General features: G+C 46.7%; 1 protein-coding gene and 1 long non-coding RNA gene across 19 annotated transcripts in view, besides 2 other annotated features; one reads left to right on the forward strand and one right to left on the reverse strand.

Moving 5' to 3' along the window:
- Window positions 1-13,671, forward strand: part of CHRNA7 (cholinergic receptor nicotinic alpha 7 subunit) — a 142,536-nt gene that overhangs the window by 116,572 nt on the left and 12,293 nt on the right. For 6 of the 8 annotated variants that reach the window (NM_001190455.3, NM_000746.6, XM_011521178.4 and 3 more), the window contains 4 exons: window positions 6,853-6,932; window positions 10,554-10,721; window positions 11,358-11,552; window positions 12,515-12,601. In NM_001190455.3, coding sequence (NP_001177384.1) covers window positions 6,853-6,932; window positions 10,554-10,721; window positions 11,358-11,552; window positions 12,515-12,601 — 530 coding nt within the window. Of the gene's footprint in view, window positions 1-2,297; window positions 2,702-6,852; window positions 6,933-10,553; window positions 10,722-11,357; window positions 11,553-12,514; window positions 12,602-13,671 lie in introns of those variants that run through there. The other 2 variants (XM_011521177.3, NR_046324.1) reach the window with 2 other exon arrangements.
- Window positions 4,934-5,435: an enhancer, noted in NCBI's record as "NANOG-H3K4me1 hESC enhancer chr15:32444189-32444690 (GRCh37/hg19 assembly coordinates)". NCBI's record gives its function as "activates a minimal SCP1, AML or CMV promoter by ChIP-STARR-seq in primed H9 embryonic stem cells {active_cell/tissue: H9 hESC(primed)}" and the evidence as "EXISTENCE:reporter gene assay evidence [ECO:0000049][PMID:30033119]".
- Window positions 5,436-5,935: an enhancer, noted in NCBI's record as "NANOG-H3K4me1 hESC enhancer chr15:32444691-32445190 (GRCh37/hg19 assembly coordinates)". NCBI's record gives its function as "activates a minimal SCP1, AML or CMV promoter by ChIP-STARR-seq in primed H9 embryonic stem cells {active_cell/tissue: H9 hESC(primed)}" and the evidence as "EXISTENCE:reporter gene assay evidence [ECO:0000049][PMID:30033119]".
- Window positions 8,911-13,671, reverse strand: part of LOC102724078 (uncharacterized) — a 187,103-nt gene continuing 182,342 nt past the window's right edge. For 10 of the 11 annotated variants that reach the window (XR_007064561.1, XR_007064568.1, XR_007064566.1 and 7 more), the window contains one exon: window positions 8,911-10,660. This is a non-coding gene — a long non-coding RNA (uncharacterized LOC102724078). Of the gene's footprint in view, window positions 10,661-10,739; window positions 10,858-13,671 lie in introns of all 11 variants that reach the window. The other variant, XR_007064560.1, reaches the window with a different exon arrangement.

Consider the following 13,671-nt stretch of genomic DNA (forward strand, 5'->3'; position numbering starts at 1 on the left):
TGTTAATCTTCTCCCATGTTACTTATAGCTTTGCTGTAATCCGTCCTATGCCATATCCAGTTGTTATAATATCCCATGTTACATTCAATTTAATATGCCAACTAGTGGCTAAAGAAAAGATTTCTGAGTGGGAGCTAAACACTGGGTACTCATGGACATAAAGATGGCAACAACAGACACTGGAGACTACTGTAGGGGGAAAGGAGAAGGGGGCCAGGATTGAAAAACTACTGGATACTCTGCTCACTGCCTGGGTGATGGAATCAATTATACCCTAAACTTCTGCATCGCATGCGATATACCCATGTGACAAACATGCACATGTATGTCCTGAATCTAAAATAAAAATCAAAATATGAACAGATAGCACGTGCCTGCAGTCCTAGCTGCCAGGAGGCTGAGGAAGGCGGATGGCTTGAGCCCAAGAGTTTGAGGCTCCAGTGAGCCACGATCGCACCACTGCACTCCAGCCTGGGTGACAAAGCATGACCCTGTCTCAAAATAAATAAATAAACAAATAATATAAATAAGTAAATATTTTCTTTTTTTAAAAAAAGGAAATATTCTTGAATGCATTTTTCTGGAAGCCTCCTCCTGGTACCTCAGAATTCTGCTTCCTGGAATCTCTGGCAGGTAGAAATGACCATAAAAGTTTGATTCTACTCAAGACTTTTTTGGTCATGGACTATGACAAGCCACATTGCTGATTGCAGACCCTCAACATTTTAGAATAAAATATAGAACTAAAAAGATTTATGACAGGGTGTGTCTCTCCCTCTGTCTTCTGTTCAGAAAATTTACCCATTCTCAACAGCCTTGCTTTCCCTCTGCAATCTGGGCATTGCTTCCGTCAGTGGTGTCTTCACATGGAATTGGGGAATTGGCAGCTTTTTTTCCCCTTTCTTCAGAGATTTAAAGTAAATGACACCTTAGATCAGATAGATGAGCATCATCCTTCCTCCTCCCTTCCTTTTTGGATAGATTTCATCTTCATCTCTCTTGCCCTTCTCTCTCTCAGTCTTTCAAGGTTGCTGAGAGCTCAGAGGGAATGGGATTGATTTCACATGAGACCTTACTATTTAGGGTCATCCTGAACCCATGCGAAGCATTTTCTTTGCAGCAGGACAGAGTGCCTGGATTTCTTCTTCTTATTGTTATTTTATTATTATTCATCTTTACCTGAATGCAGAGGCTCATTCTGGTGAACACGTGCCCTATTGGGAGTTGGTCTTGCTGGACTTCTTTGATGGCTGGACCCCTGGCTTTTTCTCTCAAGGTTATAAGAGCCGGGCTTCTGGGTCAGATGATGCTTTCTCTGTGGAGGCACAATCACTCTCTTCTTTTCTGGCTCAGTGTTGAGGCCTCCCGTGCTCAGCCGTAGAGGTCAATGCTACAGAGCTGACTGAGGCAGGAGGCAAGGCTGAGCCTAGGATCAGAGGGCTCTTGTTCCAGGGCCAGCAGCTCTGCAGGAATGAGACCAGGCACCATTGTGTGAGGATCCTAGGGGATGTGGAGGAAGGAAAGGTGTGATCTCAGACCCACCCACAGGGTCCACCTGTGCCCCATGGGCTCCCCCTGCCTATACTGCCATTGACGTCTGAAAGCACAGCTTGTAATCCCATAAGGATTGGGCTTCTGAATCCTGCCTGGGGGGCCAAGCAGTGGTTTGCTCCCAAGCCCTCTTTCAGCCTCACTGCTTAGGGCAACATGGTGTAAGCAAACACCATGATCCAGGCAAGCCAGACCTTCCTGGAGCCTCCTTCGTTCTGGCTTATCTCCAAGTGTGTGATCCCACCATGCCCTCCGCCAGGGGCCTGTCCACATCCGTTTCCGTCTTTGGGAGCTCTGGCTATCCTTTAAAGCCTATGCAGACACCTCTCCTCCTCCTACCCCCGCTAAGGACACGTAGCTTGCGTCCTACATGTTTGAGTTACATTTGCCCCAGTCACCCCCTCCGTGGTGAGGGTAGGGCTCAGAGCTCTCCTCACACCAAGAGTGGGCCCCAGTCATTGCTGGCTGGGGGAGGACAAAGGCAGCCAGATAAAGGCAGCTCCTGCAAGGACGGAGAGGCCACAGGCCGGCATCTTCACAAACTGTGGATGTACTGTGTCTTCCAGTAGTCAAAATAAAGAATATATTTGGCCATTTTCAGACTATTTAATACAGAACAGTTTACACACAGAAGAGGAGTGAGGAGGAGAATGAATCCCTGCAGCCCTACCCCTGTTTCCACGGTTATGGGTGTTTGCCAGCACAGGGCTGCCCAGCACTGGTGAGGGGGTCACTGTTGGCTGGCATCTGTCGGGCATCCCCGGGGAAGCTGCGCCGGTGCTGTGGCCACTGAGGTCCTCATAGGGGTTCTGGCCACTCACATTTCCGAGGTTCTTCATTTCCCACCTCAGATCACTGTTTTCAAACTCAGTTTTCAGCAACAGGGCCTTTCTTCAAACTCATCTTATCTCCACCCCTAATGCTCAAAACAGATAAAGTAGTATTAGCACAAATCCATTACAAGAGTTTACTTTTATACTATGTACTTATAAAATCAATTTGCCTATGGGAAAGAAGCGTAAAACTACCATCATGGGTATTAAGATTTGGATTTTGATAACATTTATGTGTTACAATTTCATGTAGCTCAATATTCTGTTTGGATGAAAAACATTCAGAAATCACTGAGTCACAAATCACTGAGTCACAGGTAAGCTGTTGCTAATAGCAACAGTTTTTTTATCTTGTTTTTACCTGTTTGCCTTGTGATCTCAAGAGTCTCTTCAATTAAATTGATCCAAATGCTTGAAAGAAAGGCTTGTAGGAACTTTTTTTTTTTCAGAGTTGAATCACTGATCTAACAGATGCTCAGTCTTGATTATAAATATGAAAATCAGACAGGAAGAAACCCAAGCTTAAAATAAGCAAAACTTTGTTCCCCATAACATGCATCAAACCACACTATTCTTAATTTTTAATTTATTTTTATTTCAAAAATATTTATGTTTTTATTTTATTTTATTAGAGACAGGGTCTCGCTCTGTCTCCTAGGCTGGAGGACAGTGGTGCAAACATAGCTCACTGCAGCCTCAAACTCCTGGGCTCAACTAATCCTCCTGCCTCAGCCTCCTGAGTAGCTGGAAACATAAGCTTATGTCACTGCACTGATTAATTTTGTCAGTGTTTTGTTTTTGTAGAGATGGGGTCTTGCTTTGTTGCCCAGTCTGGTCTCAAACTTCTGGCTTCAAATGATCCTCCCCTCTGGGCCTCCCAAAGTGCTAATATTATAGGTGTGGGCCACTGTGCCCAGACTATAGACCATGCTTTCTATGTTGCTGCTACTGAGGGTGATTGATGGGGGAACGCATCCCACGTCTGGTGCGGGTTAGATGCCATGTAATTGGAGGGACAGACTTTAATTTTTTAAAAGCAATGCAAAGCTGAAATCTCATTTGGTGACTCCTTTATAAGAGATTCAAATGCGTGCAAATTCATGGCCAGAGAGGCTTTAGTTTAACTTCCATGCAAAAAGGAGTTAAACAGGACACATAAATTAACACAACGGTAGTCTCTAAGAGTTAAAATTTTGTTAATAGTCATTTGAGTGTGTGACTTTTATTACCATTTTCAAATTCAAAGGAACTAAAATATTGGAGGTAAATATTTCCAGAAACCTTGAGGCGCCTCCATAGGGTCTCAGGGCTCCAGAGAACCTAGCTTGAAGATCATGATACTATCCAGAGTGAGCTTGTGCAGGTCCACATTTTCAGCTATTTTGTGCCCAATCACCATTTATAATGTGACTCATTAACAGTCAGATACAGACTACGGTCAAGCAAAGAATATTTACATCTTGATCCTACCTCCTCCTCTCTCTTTCCCTATGTGTTTTTGGAAGTAAGGGGGGGGGATGTGTCCTTTCATGACAACTTGGCTCTCGCCTTCTCTCCCTCTCTCCTTTCTCTCAGTCTCCCCCTTTTTCCCCCTTATCCCCCTTTCTTCCTTCCCTTAAACTTCATCACGTTTTTGCTTGTTTCATATTCAAATCACGGCTTTCTCATACAATTACTACTTTTTTCCTAGAGTTTCTGGTTGCCTTTTCTTATTATAAGAATGTTTAAAACTGTGTCCTTAATCAAGTCCATGATGTTTTTCAGCTCATTATATCTCCTCTTTCTTGCTCTGAACCCATTTGGTTCTGTCCTCAGTACTTTAACATCTTGCTGGGATTTGGACCCACCTTTTTCTAGGCCTCCTGCTCAAGTCATCCTCTAAATCTCTTTTATCGATCTCCAGGTTTAATCTAAAAGTGTATTCTTTCTCAGGTTTCACTCTCATTGTTCCAAAGCTGACCAAGGAAATATATGTTGGGAACAAGCTCTTCAAGGCTTTAATGTTCTTGAAAACCCCTTTTTTTTTGCCTTCATGCTTGGGTGGTTTTTCTGCTGTGAGAAGTGTCTTCGTGTTATTTCTTAATTTTTTCCCTCCCACTCTCCCTGATGGAGCTTCTGTGAGTGAGGCGAGTTCCCCCAGCCTTGTCCTCTACGCTGTCTTCTTTCTGTGTTACGTTTGATCTCTGTGATTTCTATCAGCCAAACCTCCCACCTACTCATAAAAAGTTATTTCATAAATCATACCTTTAATTTCCATTTTTCTCTCTTTTTTCTAATTGCTATATCCTCTTGAATGTTGTGAGGACATTACTTTTTTAAGAAGTGATTTTTCCTTCTTTTCATTGACTCATTCTTTTTGGATCTTTTTTGGTGTGTATCCTCCACTGTGTGTCGCATGCTGAAGACTGTCCTCCGGTATCTGTGATTCTAAGTTTCCCCTTGAGAAATCTCAGACATGGGAGAGGCTGCCTGAGGCTCTGTAGTCATGGGCAGCTCCTGCAGGGGCCATAGTGGCCAAAATGAGGGGAGCTTTACTCTGGGGTGCTGGTACTTTGACTGGCTGCCTGTGTTTTTTTGAGGTGGTTTATTTTTCTTTACCAGTAGGGCTGTGTTTTAAGGGTACCCAGGGTTGGTTTTAATCAGGCATGGTGAGACACTTAGACACAGAAGTGACTGTCCTGAAGGAAAGCAGTTTTACTCACTGTTCTTAGAAGCAGAAGGACAGGCTAGGCGCGGTGGCTCAGCCTGTAATCCTAGCACTTTGAGAGGCTAAGTGGGGGTGGATCACGAGGCCAGGAGTTCAAGACCAGCCTAACCAACATGGTGAAACCCCATCTCTACTAAAAATATAACAATTAGCCGGGAGTGGTGGCACGCACCTGTAATCCCAGCTACTCAGGAGGCTGAGGCAGGAGAATTGCTTGAATCCAGGAGGCAGAGGTTGCAGTGAGCCGAGATCGTGCCCCTGCACTCCAGCCTGGGCAACAGAGCTAGACTCCATTTCAAAAAAAAAGGGAAGCGTAGCACATGCAGGGACACAGGGAGGCACCAGGGCCACGCGGGAGGCCGAGAGAGTGCGGGAAACCTGAGCAAGGGCCGTCCTTCATTGTGGCTTCTGCAGGAAGGAAGGGAGGAGCAGGGCACGCAGGCTTAGGTTTAGGATTAGCTCCTTAGAATAATTGCAGTAGGCCCTGGGGCATAGGGACTCTTCCTGGTTGACTTTTACCTGGTCCTGCAGTGATGAGAGCAGGACTGGTGTCAACCCCAGTGTGACAGCCTGATAAAGGATGTGTTTGGGTGGGGGTATGGGTTCTGGATTGATTGATTTGTGTTTGAAAGGCCAGAGTTGTTTACTATCTCTCCAAGGGGCCTCCAGAGTCAGCAAAGCCCCAGATGTCAACACATCAGAATCCAGAAAATAAAAGACAAGGCTAGTACAGGCTGTTGGTGTAATTGCTGTTGGGGCTGTGTGTGTGTGGGTGTGTGTCCTTTATCCCAGTTGTTAACTCCTGGCTGCAGGAGGCTGGAACAGGGGACGGAGAGGGGCAGTGGTGCATCCGTCTAAAACTCGCACTTACTTCTGTTGTCTTCCCTCACTCTCCTTCTTTTCATCGCTAACTGTGGAGCTGGAAGCCCTCTGGGGTTGTGGTGTCCAGCTCCCTCCTGCACCTGCAGTTCAGTCATTCAAGATATATATGTGGGCCGGGCACGGTGGCTCACGCCTATAATCCCAGCACTTTGGGAGGCTGAGGCGGGTGGATCACAAGGTCAGGAGATCGAGACCATCCCGGCTAACATAGTGAAACCCCCGTCTCTACTAAAAATACAAAAAAATTAACCAGGTGTGGTGGTGTGCACCTGTAGTCCCAGCTACTCGGGAAGCTGAGGCAGGAGGATGACATGAACCCAGGAGGTGGAGCTTGCAGTGAGCCGAGATCATGCCACTGCACTCTAGCCTGGGCAACACAGCAAGACTCTGTCTCAAAAAAAAAAAAAAAAAGATATATATGTGAAGCACAAACCAAGTGTGGGTCCGCTTCAAGAGGCTGGAACTAGAGCTTTGGACACAGCGAGTGAAAACCCTGCCCCATGAGGCTCACAGGGTGGCAGCGTGCCTCACCCACCCTCTGTTCTTCTAGACACCATGAAAATGTCACATCTGCCGATGTCCTCCAGAGTTGTTTACAGGTTTCATTTGGTTAAGAGCTTGGTTTTATATACATTGTGAGAAAAATCACCAGTTCGGTGTGAAAATTGAAATGGGGGTAGACACTGGCCCTTCCAAGCTGTGCCCGGGGAAGACCTCCCAGGCCAGTCCCAGTGGTGCTCTCAGGCAGCGTGTGGGGTTGTGAGGACAGACAGGGGCCCCTCTCAAGGTCTTTGCTGCTCCATCAAAGACAGACCCCAGGGCTTCGGGAAATCCACAGCCTGGTGGCACTGGCTCATGCAGTCCTTTTCCTGTTTCTAGTGCTGATGAGCGCTTTGACGCCACATTCCACACTAACGTGTTGGTGAATTCTTCTGGGCATTGCCAGTACCTGCCTCCAGGTAAGCTGCACCTCCTTTGTCCTCTTCCAGTTAGAAAACTGAAGCGAGTTTGGGTGTCAGTCAGTCTGGCCGGTGCCCCCGTGTGGTGGACCAGCTCTTTGCTTCGCCTTTGCTCACTCCCACCTCTTCCTCTCTCTTCTCTTCTGTGCTTCTGTGTGCTTTCTACCCCCAGAAGTCCATCCTCCTCTTTTGTCTCAATCAAGCCGTCTTTGCCACTATGTCCTTATTTTCTGCCATGTGTGCCTTAAAGCCAATGTACAAATACAGCGAGTCTCCTTTGCCGGGCAGTGGCCACCTCACCTTCCAGCCTGGCAAGCCACCTCTCCAGGCTCTGCTTCTCAGTTCCAGCTTGCCATCCTCCTCCCTGCGGGACTCAGTGTCTTGGCAGGTGCAGCGCTCCAGCTGCCGGGGGTGAGATATGACAGTTCCAGGATCCTGAGTGCGTGCGCTAAAGAGCACACGCAGGTTACAGGCAAGGTCTGGTGGTTTCAAGGGAGAGCTCTCTAGCGGCTGACTTCTTCCCAACAGTGTCTCACCTCCAAGGCTAAGTGCTCCCTGGATTGGTTCTTTCCCACCAGTCCATCTTTTCAGTCGATTCACAGGGCAAGGGAAATGGGTTTATGGCCTAAAGGTGCATGCAGAGTGCGCACTAGCATATTGATAGGAACAGCTGGGGTTTTTGATCTTTTAGAAGATTTTTAATGTGTTTATTCCAGGGTGATCTCCCACACTGCAGCTGTTTAACTTTCTGCTCAGAGGCAACCTGCAATTACCTCCACACCTAACTACCACTCACACATACGACTCACACACACACCACTCACAACCACTCACACACAGCCACTCACACATACCACACACCACTCACCCCTCACACACACCACTCACACACATCACTCACATACCACCCACACGACTCAACACTCACACACCACTCACACAACCACTCACATACCACCCACACGACTCAACACTCACACACCACTCACACAAATATACCACCCACACACCACTCACCACTCCACACATACCACTCACACAAACCACTCAAACCACCAACACACACACACCAGACACACACACACCCCTCACACACACCACTTACACACCACTCTCACACACCATACACACCACTCACACACGACTCACAACCCTCACACACACCACTTACACACATGCAGGCATGCACTCTCAAACCAGATACACTATTCACACCACTCACATACCACACATACTGGCTGTGCCTTCTCGGTTGCTGTCTGAGTGCCTTCCCTGTCAGCAGGTGACAAGCATCTGGGGGCACAGTCAGCCTTTGCTCACCTTAGCATTTATCCCTGAATGAACAAAGGAGCGAGTGAACCTGTCAATGGTAGACACCTCCCAATAATATTGGAAGAGATTGAAGAAGTCCAGCTGTTCAGGCTTCTCGAAGCATCCGCTTTCCTGCTAGCCCTGGCATTTCCTCCTACCAGCAGGACCCTTGCAAACAGGGGTAGTGGGGGGAGCCTTCCATCACTCCCGAGGTCTTTCTCGCCAGGCCTGCGTGTTGCAGCTTCTGTTATGAGGGCTATTTTAGAAAACAGCCTCCGGTAGTCACCAGTGTAGAATATGCTGCTGCAGGTTGTTTGGAAGGCTGAGGCTATTTTCAGCTGCAGGACCAGCACTGCAAGCCTCGAGCTGCCTGAGTGCAGCAGCCCCCTCTGGAGCTCCAGGCCTGTGTCCCCACTGCAGTGGCCCTGGATTCCGGTCAGGACAGGACACGTTGTCTTGTGACCATGAGGGGCTTCCTTACGCTGGCAGGAAAGGCCCAGGGCCGCCTGGATTGGGAAACCCCTGCCTGCTCCCTGGGAGTGTAGAACGAGTCCCAGGATGCTGCCCTGTCTGTAGTTAGAGGGGCATGGATAGGAAAGAATGTTTTGAGTTCAAGCTTTGAAATAGAGACTTGACCATAACATGACTTTCCCCCCCATTTCATGTGTTTATTTTTTAACAGCTTTATTGAGAGAGAATTTACATATCATGCATTTTAAGTACATGATTCAACAACTTTTAGTATATTTACAGACTTATGCAACCATTACCACAGTCTAGTTTTAGAACATTCCCATCACCCCACAAAGATCCCTTTTGCTTGTTTGCAGTTAATTCCCATTCCTACTCCCAGCAACCACTGATCTGCTTTCTGTCTCTAGAAATTCTCTGTCTGTCTCGGGCCATTATTTCGTAGAAATGGGCTCATGAAGTTACAAAGCTTTCCAACTAACTGGCAGACAAGGTGGGTTTTGGGGGGATCCAACTATTAATGGAGGGGGATTGTCTGTGATGATTCCAGATTCCTATAAACATTTCATGTAAGGACGCAAAGCATACTTAAAGGAACTTCAGGGGACAAAATGTGTATCTTTTCCCAACTCGGTTGTGGGGTGGGGTCCTTGTGTGCAAGGCTGTGGAGGCCCTTCCTGCGTGCACTCTTTCTGTAACTCAGTAACAGAAGTTTGCAGAGTGCCAGCCCTGCCCCAGGAACACCTGGACACCGAGTCTGTGCCTGTCTTCTTGTGCCATGCAGCCTTCCTCTGGGCAGGGAAGAGCACATGAGTGTAAATAACTGGAGTGGCCTCTATCTGGTTTCCTCCCCTTGGCCCTCTGGGAAATCCACTTCCAACCTGTCCTAGCCTGGAATAGCTCTTTTCAGCGGAAACTCTTCCTTCAAGCACCATCTCTTCAGCTTAAACCTATCTATCTGTTCTTGTTTTTGTTTGTTTGTTTGTTTGTTTGTTTGTTTTAACTTTTTTTCTTACAGACAGATTCTAGGTGTGTTCCCCAGGCTGGAGTGCAGGGGCTCGATCATAGCTCACTTCACTTTAGCCTCAAACTCCTGGGCTCAAGCAATGCTCCTGCCTTAGCCTTCTGAGTAGCTGGGACTACAGGCATGCATCACCTCACCCAGCTAATTTTTTTTATTAGAGATGTCTCACTATGTTGCCCAGTCCGGTCTCAAACTCCTAGTCTCAAGTGACCCTCCCACGTCAATGTCTTAGAGTCACTGGGATTACGGGCATGAGACACTGTGCCCAGCTTGTTCTGTTCTTCATCTAGAATTTAAATTAGTTAAAATTCTAGCTTTAACCAGAATTCTAGATTGTATTTCTCGATAATCATGTGTTCTTCCCATTTTTAACCTAAAGAAAATGCCTACCTCACCCCGCACCAAACAGACACACACACACACACACACACACACACCTTTTAGATTCTATTTCTAACTTCATCATCAGGGTTATCAACTTCTCTGAGATATTTTGCATTCTTTACTTTTATTATTTAGAGTCTGAAGATGCTCATGGTAAATGCAGATTATAGAGCTAACTTTTTGCACAAAAAGCCCACAAAACAGTCTTTGAGAGAGCATGTCAGTGTTACGTTTGGATTTTAAAAGACAGTGAAGCTTAGCTGAGATTCTGTTTTACAGATTTTGCGAATAAATAAAAAGACAGATTCCATTTGCTCTGGACTGTGTTAGCTGCAGTGCGGAGGGCGGAACCGGCTGAAGGAACTGCTGTGTATTTTCAGCACATCTCAGTCAGCTTCCGTTTCAGTCTTCTGTTTCCATCACCCACACAGGCATATTCAAGAGTTCCTGCTACATCGATGTACGCTGGTTTCCCTTTGATGTGCAGCACTGCAAACTGAAGTTTGGGTCCTGGTCTTACGGAGGCTGGTCCTTGGATCTGCAGATGCAGGAGGCAGATATCAGTGGCTATATCCCCAATGGAGAATGGGACCTAGTGGGTAAGCCATGGGACTAACCGCCTGGAAGAAAGCTTTCCTATTCCTGGGCAAGCTTTAAAAGTTTGGGATTTTCCACTGTCCTTTCCGGTGCGAGCATTTATTGAATTTTGCAGTAGTCTCCATAATTTACTGAGAGCTACAGGAGGAGAAACAGAAAACAGTTAGGATATGCCATGCTTTCCAAGAGGAACTGGCAACTGCAGTGAGGATGCATTTAAACAAACCAGTGTGAGGATAGATCTCTCTACGTTATGCAGATCCACTCCATTTCTAAAAGCAAGTTGAACAGCAAATTTCAGTTGATGGGAACCTATATTTGATTATTTTAAAATAGGAAAACAGTGATTACATTTATAACAGTGTAAAATTGGTAATGTATTATTTATAATTATTATAATCATGTGTTTCCAATCCACCAAAAGAATATGTACCAATTTGGCCAACTATCACTAAAATACTCTTAACTCTATAGTAAATCAACAAGGTTTTATTCAAGCTAATTACAACCCCCCCCTTTTTTTTTTTTAGCACTTTGCAAACTTTAGGACTGTGCTTGTGTGTGGTATACACATTGAAATAAACAGGGTAATTTATTGTATTCTAACAATGGCTCCTTCTCTCCTCCTCCCTATGGAGGAATCCCCGGCAAGAGGAGTGAAAGGTTCTATGAGTGCTGCAAAGAGCCCTACCCCGATGTCACCTTCACAGTGACCATGCGCCGCAGGACGCTCTACTATGGCCTCAACCTGCTGATCCCCTGTGTGCTCATCTCCGCCCTCGCCCTGCTGGTGTTCCTGCTTCCTGCAGATTCCGGGGAGAAGATTTCCCTGGGTAAGCGCCCCAGTGTCTGGCGGGAGTCTGAGACTGGAGACCTTCTGCTGAGATCAGCTCTGGAGGGCTCACAGCAGACAGCGCAGGACTCCATCAGGGTTCCTGGGGATTCCCTGGCTCATCCCATGGACCTCCGAGCCCACGGTGGCTCCAGGACACCAGAGGTCCCTGATTCGGGCTCCGTGCTGGACGGCTGTGTAATCCTGAGAATACTGGAGGACCCTCAGAGGATGGGGGATGCACAGGGAGGGGGCCAGCTCCATTCTGCCTTGAGAGGCCTGTGCTTTCTTCCCTCCTGCCACCCCACCTGTTCCTCAATGGCGACTGGTCATCGAGGGAACAATTTAGCTTAGTATCAGCTTGCATTTGTATGTTACAGTACCCAGTGTAATTCTTACGATCACTCCCATACGAAGCTAAGGAAACCAAGATTTTGAATGGTGGAATGAGTTTCCCAATGTCTTAAAGAGTTGCTAAACATCAGATGTAGCATATGGTAGAAATCATTCCCAAACCCATATCTTCTGAGTATGAGGTTCAGAAAGGTTGAATGTTGTATCTAAGGTCACATAGCTAGTTGAGTAGCAAACGTAAGACCTGAAATCAGGTCTCCTGACTGCATATTTTCTTTTTCCTGCTACGTGAAACTACTTCTCAATAATATTTTACAGAGAATATGAGAGATAATTGTGCCAAGTTAAATTTTTCAGTTTGTGTTGATGCTTTTAAAATTCTGGGTCCTAAACTTGTCTCCATAAGAGACTCCTTTGGGACTCTGGTAAGTGGCATGGAATGTCCCCTGGAAAATGCACACGCCCATACATAGGGAAAACGTGCATTCCACGACATTCCCCCCAGCGCCTCCCTTTCTTTTGAGTGTCAGGTTAGGAGCCCTCGTTAGACAGAATTGAGGCCTTCTTGTCTGTTTTTGTCTGAGGAACCGCTGTGTGTTTATGTTTTAGGGATAACAGTCTTACTCTCTCTTACCGTCTTCATGCTGCTCGTGGCTGAGATCATGCCCGCAACATCCGATTCGGTACCATTGATAGGTAAGGCAAGAGTTGGGCTCCTCTCTTAGAGATATGGGGTTAGGGTTAGAGTGTGCCCAGGATTTCCCAGCAGATGAAACTAGAAGAAATAGGGCTGCACTGCCCCCATTTTCTCTGGAAGGTGATGATTTGCTGTAACTATTCAGAGTCACCCAGGCCCAAGTAAGGGGAAGGGGATATTCAGCTTTGAGGTTTGACTTTTATCTCACAGAAATGCCCCCCTTCCCCTCATAATTCTCCTCCTCATGCTTGCTTTGAAGCCAGATATTTCATCGTTAGAGATGCATCATTTTAGCTTAAGATGTTGTTTTCCCACAAAGCCTTTGTTAAAATGGGAGAAGCACACAGTTACTGTGTCCTGAGATAACTCAATGTCTCTGTATAAAAGTTTCTAGGGAAATATGAATGAGAAAAATATATTTTGCACAGGTATAAGGCATGATCCTCTACCCAGGGAGGGACAACAAAAACAAGTCTCCACTCCCACTGGGCAGGGAAGGTTGGAAGGAGGTATACAGACTGTCATTACACCTGCTGGCCCCTGCTGTTTGAGGACCTATGCTGTGTCTACCTGGGGGTGGGCTAGAGGGAGAGCCCTACCTGGATACCCCCAGGCTTTAGGAACCAAGCAGCAAAGGCCCTTCTTTGTGGAACTCCCTGTATGTGCAGTATTTTGGCCAGAGAAACTGTTGGTATGAAAAGCCTTTGTGGGTATCATTTTTCTCTTGGTACCATCCAGACAGGGAAGAACCACCTTTCCACCTGATTCTGACTCCATTCTTTCTACCTTCCAGCACACTGCTTTCAGTAGAGATTTGCAGCCTCCCTTCCGGGGGCAGTTGTCAGGCCTTCTCTCTCTGGACTGATGACCCGCTGGGAAAGGCTTGGTTGGTGCATAGCCCACATCTCGAAGGATGGGATGTTGATGGCCCCAGGGACATCAGCTTTGCTGCCCTCTGTTGATGGAAATTCAGTCTGGGCAATCCTTTGACCCCCATCTCTCCAGAGGTGGTTGGTCTGCTCAGGCTGCCGTGACAAAATACTATGGACTTAGGGGCTTAAATAACTAA

Source organism: Homo sapiens, chromosome 15 (assembly GCF_000001405.40).
Source record: "Homo sapiens chromosome 15, GRCh38.p14 Primary Assembly".
Classification (NCBI taxonomy): Eukaryota; Metazoa; Chordata; class Mammalia; order Primates; family Hominidae; genus Homo; species Homo sapiens.